Below are 23026 nucleotides of genomic sequence, written 5' to 3'. Positions count from 1 at the left end.
ATTTTCTTCTCCCTGATGCACACTCTAGTAAACAGGGCATGTTCCTCTCTCAGGGAGAACCAAACTTCTCTCCAATTAAGTGACTCTGGATCTATGCTGACTTAGGTCTAAAATCCAGGCGAGAGACTACAACTCTTCACTATGGCAACTCAACTTAGGTTTTTGGCTACTAGAGCAAGTTTTTTGTTTATTTTTTTGAGATGGAGTCTTGCTCTGTCAACCAGGCAGAAGTACAGTGGTGTGATCTTGGCTCACTGCAACCTCTGCCTCCCGGGCTCAAGCAATTCTCCTCCCTCAGCCTCCCGAGTAGCTGGGATTACAGATGCACGCCACCACACCTGGCTAATTTTTGTATTTTTAGTAGAGATGGGGTTTCACCATGTTGGCCGGGCTGGTCTCGAACTCCTGACCTCAGGTGATCTACCTGCCTCAGCCTCCCAAAGTGCTGGGATTACAGGTGTGAGCCACTGCGCGCAGCTTATTTATTTATTTATTTTTAACAAGGTCTTGCTCTGTTGCTCAGGCTGGAGTGCGCTGGTGCAATTATAGCTCACTGCAGCCTCGGACTCCTGGGCTCAAACCATCCTCCCACCTCAGCCTTCAGAGTAGCTGGGACTACAAGTGTGCACAACCATGCCCAGCTAATTAAAAAAAAAAAACCAAAAAAACCTTTTTTTGGTGGAGACATGGTCTCACAATATTGCCCAAGCTAGTCTCAAACACCTGGCCTCAAGCAAATCTTCCTGCCACAGCCTCCCAAAGTGCTGGGATTACAGGCATAAGCCACTGTGTCCAGCCAGAATTTGATGTTTTGACATATATTTTATATCTATAGCCGTGAAGTCATTACCACAATCATGATAGCGAAGGTATGCATCACGCAGAAGTCTCCTTGTGACTGTAATCTCTCCCACCTGCCTCTCTCTGACCCCTCATACCCAAGAAACCACTGATCTGCTTTCTGTCACCATAGGTTGATTTGCATTTTCTTTTTTTCTTTTTGAGATGGAGTTTTGCTCTTGTCACCCAGGCTGGAGTGCAATGGTACAGTCTCAGCTCACTGCAACCTCCGCCTCCCAGGTTCAAGCAATTCTCCTGCCTCAGCCTCCCAAGTGGCTGGGATTACAGGCACCCACTACCACACCCAGGTAATTTTTGTATTTTTAGTAGAAACGGGGTTTCACCACATTGGCCAGGCTGGTCTCGAACTCCTGAGCTCAGGTGATCTGCCTACCTCAGACTCCCAAAGTGCTGGGATTATAGGTGTGAGCCACCATGCCTGACCTGATTTGCATTTTCTAGAGCAGGGGTTGGCAAATGTTTTTTGTAAAGGGCCAAATAGTAAATATTTTAGGTGTTGTAGGACAACAGATAAAAAGTAGTATATTATGGCAGGGCACAGTGGCTCACGCCTGTAATTCCAGCACTTTGGGAGGCCGAGGCGGGCAGATCACTTGAGGCCAGGAGTTTGAGACCAGACTGACCAACATGGCAAAACCCAGACTCTACTAAAAATACAAAAATTACCCAGACATGGTGGCGCATGCCTGTAATCCCAGCTACTGGAGAGGCTCAGGCATGTGAATTGCCTGAACTCAGGAGGCAGAGGTGGCAGTGAGCCGAGATCACACCACTGCACTCCACCCTGGGTGACAGAGCGAGACTCTATCTCAGAAAAAAAAAAAAAAAAAAGAACAAAGTTAGTGTTCCCTATCATCAAAGTCTATGACAAATGTTTATCTGTTAATTCTAATCTGTAATGAGATTTGGCAAAAATAGTTTTTCCTGAAGATAGGTATTGCCAAATACAGATAGCAATCCACAAGCATATGATGTCACGAGCACATTCATCATTTGAAAGGCATTTATAGAATTCTATTTGGACTCTGGCCAGGTGCGGTGGCTCACTTAATCCCAGCACTTTGGGAGGCCGAGGTAGGTGGATCACTCGAGGCCAGGAGTCCCAGACCAGCCTAGGCAACACGGCAAAACCCCCCTCTCTACTGAAAATACAAAAAAATCAGCCAGGCCTGGTGGCGTGTGCCTGTAATTCCAGCTACTTGATGCTCAGTATCATTTGAACCTGGGAGGTAGAAGTTGCAGTGAGCTGAGATGGTGCCACTGCACTCTGGCCTGGGCACCAGAGCAAGACCGTGTCTCAAAAAAAAAAAAAAAAATCTATTTGGATTGGATTTTTCTCTTGCTATCTGCCTTTTAGCATGTCACTACATTATGGTTTAATCACTTGAGATGTGTCTCAATTTCACTGAAGTCCTAAAAATGCTACTGGAACTGCAGTTTGAGATTGGAAATGTAGCTCCTAAAAATTTATATGGGAATGGACATCTTGCTCCTTGTTTTAACTTTGATATTATGGGCTGTGTATAAGGCAGCTTGACATCGCTTGTGATTCAAACAATATACCATCAATGAAGTTACTTTACAGCAGCATACGTTAAACATATACGTGCTGTTTTGCCTTATAATTTTAGGTTGAATTATTAAGAGATATTATCAAAACTGCTTCAAAAGCTAGCTAACAAAGCCTCTCAGTGTTTGATAGCAGTGGTTATGTGTGGTTCTTCTTTGTTGTTGTTGTTGTTGAGACGGAGTCTCGCTCTGTCGCCCAGACTAGAGTGCAGTGGCATGATCTAGGCTCACTGCAACCTCCACCTCCCCAGGTTCAAGCGATTCTCCTGCCTCAGCCTCCGGAGTAGCTGGGACTACAGGTGCCCGCCACCAAGCCTGGCTAATTTTTTGTATTTTTAGTAGAGACGGGGTTTCACCATGTTAGTGAGGATGGTCCTCAAGTGATCTGCCCACCTCGGCCTCCTAAAGTGCTGGTAACACAGGTGTGAGCCACTGCACCTGGCCCGGTTCTTATTTAGAAAAATTTCAGGCTGGGTGCAGTGGCTCAAGCCTGTAATACCCGCAATCTGGGAGGCCGAAGCAGGTGGATTACCTGAGGTCAGGAGTTCGAGACCAGCCTGGCCAACACAGTGAAACCCCGTCCTTACTAAAAATACAAAAAAAAATTAGCCAGGTGTGGTGGCGGGCACCTGTAATCCCAGCTACTTGGGAGGCTGAAGCAGGAAAATCCCTTGAACTCGGGAGGCAGAGATTGCAGTGAGCTGAGATAGCACCACTGCACTCCAGCCTGGGTGACAGAGTGAGACTCAGTCTCAAACAAAAAAAGAAAAGAAAAGAAAAAAAAATTCAATCTCAGCCCGGAGTTAAAAACCATATGTCTGTGTGTGGTGGCTCATACGTATAACCCCAGCACTTTGGGAGGCTGACACAGGCAGATTACTTGAGCCCAGGAGTTCAAGACCAGCCCGGGCAACATGGCAAAACCCTGTCTCTGCAAAAAATGCAAAAACTAGCCAGGCGTGGTGGCACATGTGTGTAGTCCCAGTTTCTTAGGGAAGTAACCTTAGGTGGAAGGGTCGCCTGAGCATGAGAGGCAGAGGTTGCAGTGAGCCAAGATCACACCACTGCACTCCAACCTGGGTGACAGAGTGAGACCCTGTCTCAAAAAAACAAAACAAATCAAAACCATAAAATTTAGCACTTCCAAGACATCAAACTACTGTATGGCATGGCAAGTCAGGATATTCAGCTTGTATTTCTAACAAAAATTTATGGAACTGACAGTTAAATCCACACAAGCAAATGAAGTTCACAATTGACAGTACTGGTTCAATATCTTATGACAGATTCAAAAATGTGTGCAAAGTACCTGCTGATGAATCATACAGTTAATAACCATAGGCTTTTTTTTTTTTTTTTTGAGATGGAGTCTCCCTTATCGCTCAGGCTGGAGGGCAGCGGCGCGATCTCCACTCACTGCAACCTCCGCCTCCTGGGTACAAGCGATTCTCCTGCCTCAGCCTCCTGAGTAGCTGGGATTACAGGCATGTGCCACCATGTCCGGCTAAATTTTGTATTTTTAGTAGAGATGGGGTTTCATCATGTTGGCCAGGCTGGTCTTGAACTCTTGACCTCAGGCAATCTACCCGCCTCAGCCTCCCAAAGTGCTGGCATTACAGGCGTGAGCCACCGTGCCCAGCAACCATAGGCTTTAAACACCTTACATTTGCACAAGCTTTGTAAATTCGTCCAACAAAGGCTTTTTCTGCTCCATATATATATATATAATATATATATTATATATATATATATTTTTTTGAGACGGAGTCTTGCTCTGTTGCCCAGGCTGGAGTGCAGTGGCACTATCTCGGCTCACTGCAAGCTCCGTCTCCTGGGTTCACGCCATTCTCCTGCCTCAGCCTCCCAAGTAGCTGGGACTACAGGCGCCCGCAACCACACCTGGCTAATTTTTTTTTTTTTTTTTGAGATGGAGTCTCACTCTGCTGCCCAGGCTGGAGTGCAGTGGTGTGATCTCAGCTCACTGCAAGCTCTGCCTCCCAGGTTCACGCCATTCTCCTGCCTCAGCCTCCTGAGTAGCTGGGACTACAGGCACCCGCCACCACACCCAGCTAATTTTTTTGTATTTTTAGTAGAGACAGCGTTTCACCGTGTTAGCCAGGATGGTCTCGATCTCATGACCTCGTGATCTGCCCACCTCGGCCTCCCAAAGTGCTGGGATTACAGGTGTGAGCCACCGCGCCCAGCCTATTTATTTTTTTTTGAGATGGACTTTCACTCTTGTTGCCCAGGCTGGAGTGCAATGACAAGATCTCGGCTCACTGCAACCTCTGCCGCCTGGTTCAAGCAATTCTGCCTCAGCCTCCCAAGTAGCTGGAATTACAGGCGCCTGCCACCAGGACTGGCTAATTTTTTGTATTTTTAGTAGAGGCAGAGTTTCACCATGTTGGCCGGGCTGGTCTTGAACTCCTGGGCTCCAGTGACCTGCCTGCCTCAGCCTCCCAAAGTGCTGGGATTACAGGCATGAGCCACTCCGCCTGACCCAGATATTATTATTGTTTTTGTTACTCTTATTATCGCAAAGACTCTCTCCCAATTTATGGCTTATCTTTTCATTCTATTAAGTGCCTTTTTTCCCCCAAGATGAAGTCTCGCTGTGTTGCCCCAGCTGGAGTGCAGTGGTATGATCTCAGCTCACTGCAACTTCTGCCTCCACGGTTCAAGTGATTTTCCCACCTCAGCCTCCTGAGTAACTGGGATTACAGGTGCCTGCCACCACGCCCAGCTAATTTTTGTTTTTTTAGTAGAGACTGGGTTTCACCATATTGGCCAGGCTGGTCTCGAACCCCTGACCTCAAGTGATCTGCCCACCTTGGCCTCCCAAAATGCTGGGATTACAGGCGTGAGCCACCGTGCCCAGCCCGGCCCACATGCATTTTAGAAACAGTACATTGATTTGTATTCTACTCCCTTTCTAAAATCACTTATCAGTTCTTGGAACTTTTTTTTTTTTTTTTTTTTTTTTTTTTGAGACGGAGTCTCGCTCTGTCACCAGGCTGGAGTGCAGTGGCGCGATCTCGGCTCACTGCAACCTCTGCCTCCCAGGTTCGAGCAATTCTCCTGCCTCAGTCTCCTGAGTAGCTGGGACTACAGGTGTGCACCACCACGCCCAGCTAATTTTTTAGTAGAGGTAGGGTTTCACCGTGTTGGCCAGGATGGTCTCGCTCTCCTGACCTTGTGATCCACCCACCTTCACCTCCCAAAGTGCTGGGATTATAGGCGTGAGCCACCATGCCTAGCCAAGCCTGTGGTTTTCTTTCTGGAAGTGACGCAGTGCACTGAGAAGAATCCGTCCCACGCCACAGCCCTTACAGTCATCGTTATTGACATCACAGTCAAGTACAGCAGCCACTTGGGCTCCCGGGACATGCGCTGGAGTTGGTACTTTATAAAGACAAGCTGTAGGCAACAGTCTGATTAACTCGATGCCACAGCACATCACAGATTACCGACGTCCAGTTCCCATTCCCTTGGAGCTCAGACAAAGCTCAAACCCAAGGGCATGGACAAACCAGTCCCCAAATGCTATCCTTGTGGATCTATCTCCAGGCACCCCTCTTGTAATAATGCTACATCGATCGGGATCCACTCACAAGGCGGAAACCACAGAGTCATTTAAACAGGGAAGTTTTAACAGAAAAATGAACTATTTACAGGGGATTGTGACTAAGTGTGAATCAAAGAGAGCTCTAAAAAACACCCATGGGGCCGGGCGTGGTGGCTCACGCCTGTAATCCCAGCACTTTGGGAGGCTGAGGCAGGCAGATCAAGAGGTCAGGAGTTCGAGACCAGCCTCGCCAACATAGTGAAACTCCGTCTCTCCTAAAAATATAAAAATTGGCTGGGTGTGGTGGCACGCAACTGTAGTCTCAGCTACCTGGGAGGCTGAGGCAGGAGAATCGCTTGAACCCGGGAAGCAGAGGTTGCAGTCAGCCGAGATCATGCCAGTGCACTCCAGCCTGGGTGACAGAGGGAGACTCTGTCTCAACACACAAACACACACACATACACACACACACACACGCAAACAACAACAACCAAAAAACACCCAAAGGGTGAGGGAGAGAGCCCAGAGAAAGAACAAACCTGGAAGGGGGTAGCCTCGTTAAGGCTGGGTCTCAGACCTCACTGGAGAGAGGTGGCTGCAGCCCATTGGACGGTGAGGTTGGCTGGGTTGCCCCAGGTCACGGCTGGTCCACAACCAGCTGGCCGAGGCTGGTGGCCAGGGGACCACAAGCAGAAACCCCTCCTGCTGGGGTGCTGGGGTGCCAAGGTTGTCAGGCTGGGAACCACACACTGGGGCTGGCAGGCAGGAAGTTGAATGCCACTGTGTGTCCGGTGCAGGGCTGCCTGCCACGGGGGTGGGACAGAGGAGGAACCAGGACAAGCCCCTTCCTCCTGTGGTGTCCCTCCGGCGCCCTCTACTGGCAAAGAAGAAATGTTTGCCAGTTCCACATCTGGTAGCAAGCGGTGCAATAAATGGATTTGGAACTGGGAGGCAACAGATAGAAAACTGGCACCAGTATGTGCTCATGGTAAAAAAAAAAAAAAAAAAAGGAAAGGCAAGTTTTGTTTCTCTTTCCTTCTTGCTTGCTTGCTTTCTCTTTCTTTCTTTCTATTATTATTTTGAGAGAGATTCTTGCTCTGTCGCCTAGGCTGGAGTGCAGTGACAATCTGGGCTCATTGAAGCCTCGAACTCCCAGGCTCAAGTAACCCTCCCACCTCAGCCTCCCAAGTAGCTGGGACTACAGGTGTGTACCACCATGCCCGGCTAATGTTTATTTATTTATTTATTTATTTTTGGTAAAGATGAGGTCCTCACTATGTTGCCCTGGCTTGTCTCGAACTCCTGGGCTCAAGCGATCCTCCCACCTTGGCCTCTCAAAGTGTTGAGATTATAGGTGTGAGCCACCACACCTGGCCACAGTTTCATTTCAGAATGTCCTTGTTGAAGCAGTAAAAATGATCAATTTTATTAAATCTCAACCGTTGAATATATTTCTTCTTAATATTCTGTGTGTCAAAATGAGAAGAATGGATAAAGTGTTTAGATTAATCATAAATCCAATGGTTACCTCTGGAAAGGCTCTCAGAGATGGAGTTGTGGGATGAGCCAACCACCACCTGTCATGGAACACCATTTATACATGGAAGAACCAAGAACAATTTATTATTATTTTGAGACTGAGTCTCACTCCGTCGCCCAGGATAGAGTGCAGTGGCGCAATCTTGGCTCACTGCAACCTCTGCCTCCTGGATTCAAACAATTTTCATGCCTCAGCATCCCAAGTAGCTGGGATTACAGGTGCACACCACTACACTGGGCTAATTTTTGTGCCTTTAGCAGAGATGGGGTTTCACCATGTTGTGCTGGGATTATAGGTGTGAGCCACTACGCCCAGCCAAATTATTATTATTCAGACTTGGGTAGCTGGCAGACATTGTTTCAAAAATGAACTGAGTCGGTCACATCAAGAAAAACAACTGACAGTGCTACCAATGATGAAATTCTTTTTTTTTTTTTTTTTTTTTGAGATACAGTCTCGCTCTGTCACCCAGGCTGGAGTGCAGTGGCACCATCTCGGCTCATTGCCAAGATCTCGGCTCATTGCAACCTCCATCTCCTAGAAGGGTCAGGTGATTCTCCTGCCTCAGCCTCCCAAATAGCTGAGATTACAGGTGCGTGCCACCACACTTGGCTAATTTCTGTATTTTTAGTAGAGACAGGGTTTCACCATTTTGTCCAGGCTGGTCTCCAACTCCTGACCTCAAGTAATCTTCCCACCTTGGCCTCCCAAAGTGCTGGGATTACAGGCGTGAGCCACTGCGCCTGGCCAAAATTCTACTTTTTAAGTGAAAATTAGAATTTAAAAAAATGAAAAAAAATATCTGTTTTCATTAGCCTGGCGGCTGCCTACCACTTACAGATTTTATCCTCTCCTTTATTATTATTATTATTATTATTATTATTATTATTATTATTATTATTATAGAGATGGAGTCTCGCTCTGCCCCCCAGGCTGGAGTGCAGTGGCATGATCTCGGCTCACTGCAAGCTCTACCTCCCAGGTTCACGCCATTCTCCTGCCTCAGTCTCCTGAGTACCTTGGACTACAGGCACCTGCCACCATGCCTGGCTAATTTTTTGTATTTTTAGTAGGGATGGGGTTTCACCGTGTTAGCCAGGATGGTCTCGATCTCCTGACCTTGTGATCCACCCACCTCGGCCTCCCAAAGTCCTGGGATTACAGGTGTGAGCCACCGCACCCCGCCTCCTTTTTTTTTTTTGAGACAGAGTCTTGCTCTGTTGCCCAGGCTGGAGTGCAGTGGCTCTATCTCAGCTCACAACCTCCGCCTCCTGGGTTCAAGTGGTTCTCCTGCTTCAGCCTCCCGAGTAGCTGGGATTACAGGTGCCCACCATCACGCCTGGCTAATTTTTGTATTTTTAGTAGAGACAGGGTTTCACCATGTTGGCCAGGCTGGTCTTGAACTCCTGGCCTCAGGTGATCCACTCACTTCGGCCTCCCAAAGTGCTGGGATTACAGGAGTGAGCCACTGCGCCCAGCCAGTTTAATGTGTTTTATTTTATTTTATTTATTTATTTTGTTTTTTGAGATGGAGTTTCGCTCTTGTTGCCCAGGCTGGAGTGCAATGGCGTGATCTTGGCTCACCACAACCTCCGCCTCCCGGGTTCAAGTGATTCTCCTGCCTCAGCCTCCCGAGCAGCTGGGATTACAACAAGCATGTGTCACAACGCCTGGCTAATTTTGTATTTTTAGTAGAGACGGGGTTTCTCCATGTTAGGCTAGTCTCAAACTCCCGACCTCAGGTGATTCACCCGCCTCGGCCTCCCAAAGTGCTGGGATTACAGGCGTGAGCTACTGCTCCCAGCCAGATGGACTATCAATTATTAATAGACACTTCCTGGCCAGGCACCGTGGCTCATGCCTGTAATCCCAGCACTCTGGGAGGCTGAGACGGGCAGACCATGAGGTCAAGAGATGGAGACCATCCTGGCCAACATGGTGAAAACCAGTCTCTACTAAAAATTAGCTGGGCGTGGTGGCACGCGCCTGTAGTCCCAGCTACTTGGAAGGCTGAGGCAGGAGAATCGCTTGAACCTGGGAGGTGGAGGTTGCAGTGAGCCGAGATCGCGCCACTGCACTCCAGCCTGGCGACAAAGTGAGACTCCATCTCAAAAAAATAAAAATAAAAATAAAATAAAATAAAATAAAATAAACACTTCCATCTATTTGTCTGAGACCTTCTATCTCATATGCAGGCAATTCTAGGAGAGGTTGGGGTTACAAGGAAGTTGAGGGCAATGGTGAGAATAACCTAAAAGCTTGGGAGTGGTTATTCCCAAGAACTCTCATCTTGTGGACCAAGGAGGGTTGGAGAAATAGAGCCTTTGATTCTATTTTAAAAGGCTCAGGGAGGCCAAGCAAAGTAGCTCATGCCTGTAATCCCAGCACTTTGGGAGGCAGAGGTGGGAGAATCACCTGAGGTCAGGAGTTCGAGACCAGCCTGGCCAATATGGCAAAACATCATCTCTACTAAAAATACAAAAATTAGAGCCAGGAGCGGTGGCTCATGCCTGTAATCCCAGCACTTTGGGAGGCCAAGGCGGGCGGATCACCTGAGGTTGGGAGTTAGAGACCAGCCTGACCAACATGGAGAAACCCCATCTCTACTAAAAATACAAAATTAGCCGGGCATGGTGGCTCATGCCTGTAATCCCAGCTACTCGGGGGGCTGAGGCAGGAGAATCGCTTGAACCTGGGAGGCGGAGGTTGTGGTGAGCCGAGATTGAGCCAATGGGGCAACAAGAGCAAAACTCCATCTCAAAGAAAAAAAAAATTAGCTGGTTGTGGTGATGCATGCCTGTAATCCAAGCTACTAGGGAGGCTGAGGCAGGAGAACCATTTGAACCTGGGAGACGGAGGCTGCAGTGAGCCAAGATCACGCCACTGCACTCCAGCCTGGGTGACAGAGCCAGACTCAGTCTCAAAAAAAAAAAAAAAAAAAAAAAAATGGCGGCGGGGGAGCTTGGGAAAAGTGATGAGAGAAACCTGAGGTCTGACAGGTGCATGAGGAAATCTCACCTGTGACCCAGAAGAGGGTCGTACTGTGCTGCTCTGCGTTTCGCAGGGCATGCCACATTTTTTTTAAAATAATTTCAACCTTTATCTTATTATTTTCTTGAGATGGAGTCTTGCTCTGTCGCTCAAGCTGGAGTGCAGTGGTGCAGTCTTGGCTCACTGCAACCTCCGCCTCCCAGGTTCAAGTGATTTTCCTGCCTCAGCCTCCCAAGTAGCTAAGATTACAGGTGCCTGCTGCCATGCCTGGCTAATTTTTGTATTTTTAGTAGAGACGGGGTTTCACCGTGTTGGCCAGGCTGGTCTTGAACTCCTGACCTCAGGTGATTCGCCTGCCTCGGCCTCCCAAAGTGCTGAGATTACAGGCGTGAGGCACCCACCGTGCCCGGCCATATTATTATTATTTTTTGAGATGGGGTGTTGCTTTGTTGCCCAGGCTGGAGTGCAGTAGCTCGATCACAGGTCACTGCAGTCTCACCCCCGCAGGCTCAAGCAATCCTCCCACCTCAGCCTCCTGAGTAGCTGGTGCTATAGCAAGTTCCACCACACCCTGCTAATTTTTTGTAAAGGTGGGGTCTCTCTATGTTGCCAAGGCTGGTCTCAAACTCCTTGGCTCAAGCCATCCTCCCACCTCGGCCTCCCAAAGTGCTCGGATTACAGACCTGAGCCACCGAGCCTGGTCTCCCAGCTTTTATTTTAGGTTCAGGGAGGCGTGTGTGGGTTCGTCACCTGGGTATACTGCATGATGCTGAGGCTTGGGCTATGAATGATCCTGTCATCCAGGAAGTAAGCATAATACCCAACAGTTTTTCAACTCTTACTCTCCACTGTCCCTCCCCACTCTAGGAGGTCCCAGTATCTATTGTTCCCATCTTTACATCCATGTGTGTACTCAATGTTTTTTTTTTGTTTTGTTTTGAGATGGAGTTGCGCTCTGTCGCGTAGGCTGAAGTGCAATCATGCAATCTTGGCTCACTGCAACCTCCACCTCCCGGGTTCAAATGATTCTCCTGCTTCAGCCCCTCGAGTAGCTGGGATTAAAGGCACCTGCCATCATGCCTGGCTAATTTTTGTATTTTTGTAGAGACAGGGTTTCGCCATATTGGCCAGGCTGATCTTGAACTCCTGACCTCAGATGATCCACCTGCCTCAGCCTCCCAAAGTGCTGGGATTACAGGTGTGAGCCACCACACCCAGGCAATGTGTACTCAATGTTTAGATCTCATTTATAAGTGAGAACACGCAGTCCTTGGTTTTCTGTTCCTGGGTTAATTTGCTTAGGATAATGACCGCCAGCTACATCCATGTCAGAGCGAAGAACATGATTTCATTAGTGTTTATGGCTGGGCATGCTGCATTCTTTCACTGCTTGCTGAGCATCAGCAGGGAAGCATTGCCTTGGGAACGGAACTTGATGGGAGGCCTCCTTGGGACCTCTCTCCTTCTCCGCCTCCTCCTCACTCTCCTCCTTCCTCCTCCTCCATAAATTGGACCAAAACATATCCTGCTGGGGACCAAAACATATCTGCACTGGCTCACGCATGTAACCCCAGCACTTTGGGAGGCTGAGGCGGGTGGATCACTTGAGGTCAGGAGTTTGACACCAGCCTGGGCAACACGGTGAAACTCCATCTCTACTGAAAATACAAAATTGCTTGAATCTGGGAGGTGGAGGTTGCAGTGAGCCAAGATTGCGCCACTGCACTCCAGCCTGGGTTAACAAGTGAGACTCTGTTTCAAAAAAAAAAAAAAAAATATATATATATATATATATGGCCGGGCACGGTGGCTCTCACCTGTAATCCCAGCACTTTGGGAGGCTGAGGCGGGCAGATCACAAGGTCAAGAGATCGAGACCATTCTGGCCAACATGGTGAAACCCCATCTCTACTAAAAGTACAAAAATTAGCTGGGTGTGGTGGTGCGTGCCTGTAGTCTCAGCTACTCAGGAGGCTGAGGCAGGAGAATCGCCTGAACCCAAAAGGTGGAGGTTGCAGTGAGTTGAGATTGTGCCACTGCACACCAGCCTGATAACAGAGTGAGACTTCATCTCAAAAAAAAAAAAAAAAATATATATATATATATATATAAAATAGAGGACCAATTTCAGCAGCATATTAAAAGGATTTTATGGGGCCGGGCATGGTGGCTCATGCCTGTAATCCCAGCACTTTGGGATGCCAAGGTGGGCGGATCATGAGGTCAAGAGTTTGAGACCAGCCTGGCCAACATGGTGAAACCCCATCTCTATTAAGAATACAAAAAGTAGCCGGGCGTGGTGGCGCATGCCTGTAAATCCCAGCTACTCAGGAGACTGAGGCAGGAGAACTGCTTGAACCCAGGGGGTGGGGGTTGCAATGAGCCAAGGTTGCGCCACTGCACTCCAGCCTGGACGACAGAGCAAGACTGTCTCAGGAAAAAAAAAAAAAGTATTTTATCCATGAACAAGTTGGATTTATTCCTGGAATGCAAAGATGTTTTAACATATGAAAATTAATCAATGTCATATACCACATTAATAGAATAAAGGGAAAAATCTTATAATTGTCTCAGTTGATGCAGAAAAAGTATTCGGCAAAATCCAATACTCTTTCAAGATTTAAAAAAAAACACTCAGCCAGGCACGGTGGCTCACGCCTGTAACCCTAGTACTTTGGGAGGCCGAGGCAGGTGGATCGCTGGAGCTCAGGAGTTCAAGACCAGCCTTGGCAACATGGCAAAACCATGTCTCTACCAAAAACAAAAATTAAGCTGGGTATGGTGGTGCATGCCTGTAGTCCCAGCTACTTGGGAGGCTGAGGTGGGAGGACGGCTTGAACCCAGGAGGTGGAGGTTGCAGGGAGCCATTATCAGGCCACTGCACTCCAGCCTGGGTGAGAGAACAAGGCCCTGTCTGGAAAAAATAAAATAAAACTAGAACTAGAAGAATTTTCCTCAACATGGTAAAGGCCATACATGAAAAACAGAGTTAACATCATATTCAATGATGAAAGACTGAAAATTTTCCCCATAAGATCAGGAACAAAACAAGAACCACCACTTTGGCCACTTCTATTTAACAGAGTATTGGAATTTCTAGCCAGAGAAATTAAGCAAGAAAAATAAGTAAAAGTTACCTGAATTGGAAAGGAAAAAGTAAAATTATCTGTACTTGCAGATGAAATGATTTTATACGTGGAAAACCCTAAAGCTTACATACATACACAACTATTAGAGCCAATAAATGAATTCAACAAAGTTGCAGCATACAAAGTCAACACACAAAAATCAGTTGCATTTCTTTACACTAACGATGAATAACCCCAAAGAGAAATTAAGAAAACAACTCTATTTAAATTACCATGCGGCCGGGTGCAATGGCTCATACCTGTAATCCCAGCACTTTGGGAGGCTGAGGTGGGTGGATCACCTGAGGTCAGGAGTTCAAGACCAGCCTGGCCAACATGGTAAAATCCAGTCTCTACTAAAAATACAAAAAACTGGCCGGGTGCGGTGGCTCACGCCTATAATCCCAGCACTTTGGGAGGCCAAGGCGGGCAGATCACCTGAGGTCGGATGTTCGAGACCAGCCTGACCAACACAGAGAAACTCTGTCTCTACTAAAAATACAAATAAAATTAGCTGGCCGTGGTGGCACATGCCTGTAATCCCAGCTACTCAGAAAGCTGAGGCAGGAGAATTGCTTGAACCCGGGAGGCAGAGGTTGCGGTGAGCCGAGGTCACACCATTGCACTCCAGCCTGGGCAATAAGAGCAAAACTACATCTCAAAAAACAAAAACAAAAACAAAAAATTAGCTGGGCGTGGAGGCGGGTGCCTGTAATCTCAGCTACTTGGGAGGCTGAGGCAGGAGAATCACTTGAACCCAGAAGGCAGAGGTTGCAGTGAGCCAAGATCACACCACTGCAATCCAGCCTGGGCAAAAAGAGCGAAATTCTATCTCAAGAAAAAAAAAAGCCATGAAAAGGAATCAAATAGGAAGAAATGTAACCAATGAGGCAAAATATTTGTAACTGAAAACTACAAAAAATTAAAGAGACATAAATAAAAAGATATCCTATGTTTATAGAATGTAAAATTTATTGTTTGTTTGTTTTTTGAGACAGAGTCTTGCTCTGTCACCCAGGCTGGAGTGCTGTGATGCGATCTTGGCTCACTGCAACCTCTGCCTCCTGGGTTCAAGTGATTCTTCTGCCTCAGCCTCCTGAGTGGCGGGAACTACAGGCACGTGCCACCACGCCCAGCTAATTTTTTTTTTTTGCATTTTTAGTAGAGACAGGATTTTACCATGTTGGCAGGGCTGGTCTCGAACTCCTGACCTCAAGTGATCTGCCCGCCTCAGCCTCCCAAAGTGCTGAGATTACAGGCATGAGCCACTGCGCCCGGCCTGAATGTAAGATTTAATATTGTTAAGATGACGGTACTACCCAGAGCAATCTACAGATTCAATGCAATTTGTATCAAAATCCAAATGGTATTTTTAATATTTTACAGATATACAAAAACTCATCCTAAAATTTATGTGGAATCACAAGGCATCCTAAATAACACAAAAAAAGACGGAAAAAAAGGTCTGCAGAAAAAGAAGAAACCAGGTCTCTCATTTCCTGATTTCAAAACTTAAATACTAACCTACCACAATGAAAAGAGTGTGGTACTGGCATAAAGACAAACATATAAGGCCGCCTGTAATCTCAACAATTTGGGAGACTGAGGTGAGTGGATTGCTTGAGCCCAGGAGTTCAAAATCAACCTGGGCAACATGGCAAAACCCAGTCTTTACAAAAAATACAATTAGCTAGGCGTGGTAGCCTGCGCCTATAGTCCCAGCTACTGAGGAGGAGGCTGAGGTGGGAGGATCACTCAAGCCTAGGAGGCAGAGGTTGCAGTGAACTGAGATCATGCCAGTGCACTCCAGCCTGGGCAACAGAGTGAGACTCCGTCTCAAAAATAAAGAAAGAGAGAAAAAAATAGACACATATATTAGACCAGTGTGAGAGGTGACAGCGTGCTGGTAGTCCTCACAGCCCTCGTTCGCTCTTGGCGCCTCCTCTGCCTGGGCTCCCACTTTGGCGGCATTTGAGGAGCCCTTCAGCCCACCACTGCTCTGTGGGAGCCCCTTTCTGGGCTGGCCAAGGCTGGAGCCAGCTGCCTTAGCTTGCGGGGAGGTGTGGATGGAGAGGCACGAGTGGGAAGCGGGGCTGCGCGCGGCGCTTGCGGGCCAGCTGGAGGTCCGAGTGGGCGTGGGCTTGGCGGGCCCTGCACTAGGAGCCACCAGCCGGCCCTGCCAGCCCCGGGCAATGAGGGGCTTAGTACCCAGGCCAGCAGCTGCGGACGGTGTACTGGGTCCCCCAGCAATGCCAGCCCACGGGCGCTGCTCTCGATTTCTCACGGGGTCTTAGCTGCCCTCCCGCCGGGCAGGGCTCCGGACCTGCAGCCCGCCATGCCTGAGCCTCCCACCCCCTCCATGGGCTCCTGTGAGGCCGGAGTCTCCCCAGGAGCACTGTCCCCCGCTCCTCGGCGCCCAGTCCCATCGACCACCCAAGGGCTGAGGAGTGCAGGTAGACAGCGCGGGACTGGCAGGTAGCTCCACCTGCAGCCCCGGTGCGGGATCCACTGGGTGAAGCCAGCTGGGCTCCTGAGTCTGGTGGGGACGTGGAGAACCTTTATGTCTAGCTCAGGGATTGTAAATACACCAATGGGCACTCTGTATCTAGCTCAAGGTTTGTAAACACACCAATCAGCACCCTGTGTCTAGCTCAGGGTTTGTGAATGCACCAGTCGACACTCTGTATCTAGCTATCTGGTGGGGCCTTGGAGAACCTTTGTGCTGACACTCTGTGTCTAGCTAATCTGGTGGGGAGGTGGAGAACCTTTGTGTCTAGCTCAGGGATTGTAAACGCACCAATCAGCACCCTGTCAAAACAGACCACTCAGCCCTACCAATCAGCAGGATGTGGGTGGGGCCAGATAAGAGAATAAAAGCAGGCTGCCCGCGCCCACAGTGGCAACTGGCTCGGGTCTTGTTACACGCTGTGGAAGCTTTGTTCTTTCGCTCTTTGCGATAAATGTTGCTACTGCTCACTCTTTGGCTCCACGCTGCTTTTATGAGCTGTAACACCGCGAAGGTATGCAACTTCACTTCTGAAGCCAGCGAGACCATGAGCCCACCGGGAGGAATGAACAACTCCAGACGCGCCACCTTAAGAGCTGTAACACTCACCGCGAAGGTCTGCAGCTTCACTCCTGAACCAGGGAGACCACGAACCCACCAGAAAGAAGAAACTCCAAACACATCCGAACGTCAGAAGGAACAAATTCCAGACGCGCCACCTTAAGAGCTGTAACACTCACCGCGAGGGTACGCGGCTTCATTCTTGAAGTCAGTGAGACCAAGAACCCACCAATTCCGGACACAAGTGGAATAGATTAGAGAGCCCAGAAATAAACCTTCTACATGGAAGATTAATTTTTGACAAGGGTTCCAAGACCACTTAATGGGGGAAAGAACAACCTTTTCGATAATAGCAGTGGGACAACTGGATATCCATACACAAAAGAATAGTCCGGGTGTGGTGGTTCACACCTGTAATCCCAGCACATTGGGAGGCCAAGGCAGGCAGATCACCTGAGGTCAGGAGTTCAAGACCAGCCTGGCCAACATGGTGAAACCCCATCTCTACTAAAATACAAAAAAATGAGCTGAGCCTGGTGGCATGCAGCTGTAATCCCAGCTACTTGGGAGACTGAGGCATGAGAATCGCTTGAACCCGGGAGGGGGAGGTTGCCATGAGCTGAGATTGCGCCACTGCACTCCAGCCTGGGTGACACAGCAAGACTCCATCTCAAAAAAAAAAAAAAAAAAAGTCTTTACAATAGATCAATTTAGGTTTTATATTTCTTTTTTTCTTTTTCTTTTTGAGTTGGAATTTCCCTCTTGTTGCCCAGGCTGGAGTGCAATGGCGCCATCTCAGCTCACTGCAGCCTCAGCCTCCTGGGTTCAAGTGACTCTCCTGCCTCAGCCTCCAGAGTAGCTGGCATTATAGGCACATGCCATCATACCCGGCTAATTTTTGTATTTATTTATTTATTTATTTTTGAGACAGAGTCTCGCCCTGTCACCCAGGCTAGAGTGCAATGGCACAATCTCAGCTTACTGCAACCTCCACCTCCCCGGTTTAAGTGATTCTCCTGCCTCAGCTGGGATTACAGGCGTGCGCCACTTGCCTGGCTAATTTTTTGTATCTTTAGTAGACATGAGGTTTCACCATGTTGGTCAGGCTGGTCTCAAACTCCTGATCTCAGATGATCTACTTGACTCAGCCCCTCAAAGTGCTGGGATTACAGACGTGAGCCACCATGCCTGGCCTAGATTTTATATTTCTTCTTAAGTTTGGTGTTTAAATTCCCCTAGGAATTTGTTCCTTTCATCTAATTTGTTGGCATACAACTGTTCATAGTATTCCCTGATAATTCTTTTACTTATCTAATGTTGGTAGTGATGTCTCCTCTTTTGCTCCTGTTTTGCAGTTTGAGTCTCCTCTGCTTTTTTCTTGGTCAGTCCATCTAAAGGTTCATCAATTTTATGGATTTTTCAAAGAACCAAATTATTTTGGTTTTACTTACTTCCTCTATTTTTTATTCTCTGCTGCATTTATTTCTGCTCATCTTTATTATCTTTTTTTTTTTTTTTTTTTTTTTTTTGAGACGAAGTCTCTTGTCGCCCAGGCTGGAGTGCAATGGTGAGATCTCAGCTCACTGAAAACTACGCCTCCTGGGTTCGAGCGATTCTTGTGCCTCAGCCTCCTGAGTAGCTGGGACCACAGGCATGTGCCACCATGCCTGGCTAATTTTTTTATTTAGCAGAGACAGGCTTTCACCATGTTGGCCAGGATGGTGTCAAACTCCTGGCCTCAAGCTGTCTGCCCACTTCAGCCTCCCTAAACTGGGATTACAGGTGTGAGTAATCCTCTGCCTCTGGGAGGCAGAAGTTGCAGTGAGCCAAGATCACACCACTGTACTACAGCCTGTGCAACAGAGCGAGACTCCACCTCAAAAAAAAAAAAAAATTAGCCGGACATGGTGGCACATATCTGTAGTTCCAGCTGCTTGGGGGACTGAGGCAGGGGGCTTGCTTGAGCCTAGGAGGTCAAGGCTGCTATAACCCATGTTTATGCCACTGCACTGCAGCCTGGGCAACAAAGTGAGAACCTGTCTCAAAATAAAAATAAAAATAAGTAAATAGGCCAGGCATGGTGGCGCATGCCTGTAATCCCAGCACTTTGAGAGGCTGAGGTGTGAGGATCATGAGGTCAGGAGTTTGAGACCAGCCTGGCCAACATAGTGAAACCCTGTCTCTACCAAAAATACAAAAATTAGCCAGGTGTGGTGGTGGGCACCTGTAGTCCCAGCTACTCGGGAGGCCAAAGCAGGAGAATCGTTTGAACCCGGGAGGCAGAGGTTGCAGTGAGCCGAGATCATGCCATTGCACTCCAGGCTGGGTGACAGAGTGAGACTCCGTCTCAAAAAAAAAAAAAAAAAAAAAAAAGGAAATAAATATAGCTTCCTAGGGGATTCTGTTTGCAGAGTGTGTCGAGAATATGAAGCCCAGAATTCAAGACTGCATTATGGACTGTGAAGGCTGAGGAGGGCTGTGAGGAAAGAGTGGGTAGGTTAAAGGAGCAGAGGCAACTGTCATGCCCTTTGGCTCTTCTATAGGAAAAGAGGAAAGAGTGAGCCTTGGGCTGTGTTTTGTGAGGGAATAGTGCCCTCCCTTTGTGGGTAAGCAAAGTTGGCTCGGAAGATGAAGACAGATGAGTCAAGAACGTCAGGGTGTCAGGGGGAGCACAAAAAGAAGGCGAAATATGCCCTTCTACACTCAAACTTGAAGGTATTCAGGGCCTGGTGGCTGGATCTGAGGCCATGCTGAGTCCTGAAGAGGGGACCAAAGTCTTGCTTTGTGAAAACTGTCTAGACTGTCCTAGCAATTCCATTTGTTTTTGACTGTCCTAGCAATTCCGTTTTTTTTTTTTTTGACAGCATCTCACTCTTGTCACCCAGGCTGGAGTGCAGTGGCACGATCTCAGCTCATTGCAACCTCCACCTCCTGGGTTCAAATGATTCTCCTGCCTCAGCCTCCCAAGTAGCTGGGATTACAGGCACCTGCCACTGCGCCCAGCTAATTTTTGTATTTTTGGTAGAGACAGGATTTCACCATCTTGGCCAGGCTGCTCTTGAACTACTGACCTTGTGATCCACCCACCTTGGCCTTCCAAAGTGCTGGGATTACAGGCGTGAGCCACTGTGACTGGCTTTTTTTTTTTTTTTTTTTTTTTTCTGAGACGGAGTCTCGCTCTGTCACCCAGGCTGGAGTGCAGTGGCGCAGTCTCAGCTCACTACAAGCTCTGCCTCCCGGGTTCGCGCCATTCTCCTGCCTCAGCCTCCTGAGTAGCTGGGACTACAGGCGCCCGCCACTGCGCCCAGCTAATTTTTTGTGTTTTTAGTAGAGATGGGGTTTCACTGTGTTAGCCAGGAGGTTCTCGATCTCCTGACCTCATGATCTGCCCGCCTCGGCCTCCCAAAGTGCTGGGATTACAGGCGTGAGCCACTGCGCCCGGCTGCCTTTTTAAATTTAAAAAACTTTTTTTTTTTTTTTGAGACAGTCTCTCTCTGTCCCCCAGGCTGGAGTGCAGTGGCGGGAATCTCAGCTCACTGCAACCTCTACCTCCCAGGTTCAAGCAATTCTTCTGCCTCAGCCTCCCAAGTAGCTGGGATTACAGGCACACGGCACCACACCTGGCTAATTTTTGTATTTTTAGTAGAGATAGGTTTTCACCATGTTGGCCAGACTGCTCTCGAACTCCTAACCTCAGGTGATCCTCCTGCCTCGGCCTCCCAAAGTGTGAGTACAGGCGTTAGTCACCACTGCACCTGGCCTCCATTCTCATCTTTTCTGATTGGAGAACTCGGTTCTCCAGAGCACAGAAGTAGCACTTCTTTCCCCTGGTCCCTGGAGAGTAAGGTCTTGTTCACATCTGTGCATGGGGCTCAGATCAGGGCCTGGTGCAGAGAAAGTGCACAATAAATGGGTGTTTAAGTCTGGGCATGGTGCCTCATATCTGTAATCCTAGCACTTTGGGAGACCAATGTGGGAGGATCACTTGAGCCCAGGAATTCAAGACCAGCCTGGGCAACAAAGCAAGACCCCGATCTCTACCAAAAAATAGAAAAATTAGCCAGGTGTGGTGGCACGTTCCAGCTACCCGGGAGGCTGAGGTGAGAGGATTGCTTGAGCTGGGAGGCTTCAGTGAGCTGTGCTTGTACCACTGCACACCAGCCTGGGAGACACAGTGAGACCCTGTCTCAAAAAATATAATAAAAGTCTAAAAAATTAATGGGGGCTGGGCGTGGTGGCTCATGCCTGTAATCCCAGCACTCTGGGAGGCCAAGGTGGGCAGATCACCTGAAGTCAGGAGTTCAAGACCAGCCTGGCCAACATAGTGAAACTCTGTCTCTACTAAAAATACAAAAATTAGCTGGGCATGGTGGCGGGTGCCTGTAATCCCAGCTACTCAGGAGGCTGAGGCAGGAGAATTGCTTGAACCCAGGAGACGGAGGTTGCAGTGAGCCAAGATCACGCCACTGCACTCCAGCGTGGGCAACAGAGCAATACTCTGTCTCAAAAATAAATAAACATAGGCCAGGTGCAGTGGCTCATGCCTATAATCCCAGTACTTTCAGAGGCTGAGGCAGAAAAATCACTTGAGGTCAGAAGTTCGAGACCAGCCTGGCCAACATGGTGAACCCTCATCTCTACTAAAAATACAAAAATTAGCCAGGCGTGGTGGTGCATGCCTGTAATCCAGCTACTTGGGAGGCTGAGGCAGAAGAATTGCTTGAACCCAGGAGGCAGAGGTTGCAGTGAGCCAAGATTGTGCCACTGCACTCCAGCTTGGGTGACAAAGTGAGACTTTGTCTCAATTAAAAAAATAATAAGATAGCCAGGCGTGGTGGCTCACGCCTGTAATCCCAGCACTTTGGGAGGCCAAGGCGGGCGGATCAGCTGAGGTCAGGAGTTCAAGACCAGCCTGGCCAGCATGGCGAAATCCCATCTCTACTAAAAGTACCAAAATTAGCCAGGTGTTGGGGTGGGCGCCTGTAATCCCAGCTACTCAGGAGGAGGAGGCGGCAGAATCACTTGAACCCAGGAGACGGAGGTTGCAGTGAGCTGAGATCACGCCACTACACTCCAGCCTGGGTGACAAGAGCAAGACTCCGTCTCAAAAAAATAAAATAAAATAAATAAATAAAATAAAATAACAAATGGGTGTTTAAATGAATGATGTTCATGGAATCTCTCCCCAGTGCTTTGCTTTCCACAAAGTTCTGCATGGAAGTCTCAATAAATTGTGGTTGAATGCTTGACAGTAACTGTGATGAAAGCAGAATTCACCTTTCATCACCTGGCCAGCAAATGTTTTGTTGTCTTATTATTATTATTATTATTATTTGAGATGGAGTCTTGCTCTGTCGCCCAGGCTGGAGTGCAGTGGCGTGATCTCGGCTCACTGCAAGCTCCGCCTCCTGGGTTCACGCCATTCTCCTGCCTCAGCCTCCCAAGTAGCTGGGACTACAGGTGCCCGCCACCATGCCCGGCTAATTTTTTTTTGTATTTTTAGTAGAGATGGGGTTTCACCATGTTAGCCAGGATGGTCTCGATCTCCTGACCTTGTGATCCGCCCACCTCGGCCTCCCAAAGTGCTGGGATTACAGGCTTGAGCCACCGCGCCCGGCCTGCTTGTCTTATATAGTATTGACCAGTAAAATGTTTTTTTTTTTTTGAGCCAGAGTCTCACTCTGTCACCAGGCTGGAGTGCAGTGGCGTGATCTCGGCTCACTGCAATCTCCACCTCCTGGGTTCAAGCGATTCTTCTGCCTCAGCCTCCTGAGTAACTGGGACCACAGGCTCCCACCACCATGCCCAGGTAATTTTTGTATTTTTAGTAGAGACAGGGTTTCTTTTTCTTTCTTTCTTTCTTTTTTTTTTTTTTGGAGACGGAGTCTCGCTCTTTCACCCAGGCTGGAGCTCAGTGGCATGATCTCGGCTCACTGCAACCTCCACCTCCCAGGTTCATGCCATTCTCCTGCCTCAGCCTCCTGAGTAGCTGGGACTACAGGTGCCCGCCACCACACCTGGCTAATTTTTTGTATTTTTAGTAGAGATGGGGTTTCACCATGTTAGCCAGGATGGTCTCGATCTCCTGACCTTGTGATCCACCCACCTCGGCCTCCCAAAGTGCTGGGATTACAGGCTTGAGCCACCGCACCCGGCCCGTAGAGACAGGGTTTCACCATGTTGACCAGTATGGTCTCGATCTCCTGACCTCAGGTGATCCACCTGCCTCGGCCTCCCAAAGTGCTGGGATTACAGGAGTGAGCCACCTGGCCTGGCCAAGATGTCTTTCAAATAATTAAAGCCAC

The 23026-nt window shown here is 48.4% G+C and overlaps 1 protein-coding gene across 4 annotated transcripts in view; it reads right to left on the bottom strand.

Moving 5' to 3' along the window:
* EIF3C (eukaryotic translation initiation factor 3 subunit C) overlaps positions 1-6805 on the bottom strand; it is a 47173-nt gene extending 40368 nt beyond the window's left edge. For all 4 annotated transcript variants that reach the window (XM_047434828.1, XM_047434827.1, NM_001199142.1 and 1 more), the window contains exon 1: positions 6535-6805. The gene's annotated coding sequence lies outside the window, so the exon portion shown is untranslated. The remainder of the gene's footprint in view (positions 1-6534) is intronic.

Source organism: Homo sapiens, chromosome 16, assembly GCF_000001405.40.
Source record: "Homo sapiens chromosome 16, GRCh38.p14 Primary Assembly".
NCBI lineage: Eukaryota > Metazoa > Chordata > Mammalia > Primates > Hominidae > Homo > Homo sapiens.
Note: the sequence above shows the minus strand (reverse complement) of the source record. Positions and strands in the feature narration are given on the sequence as shown.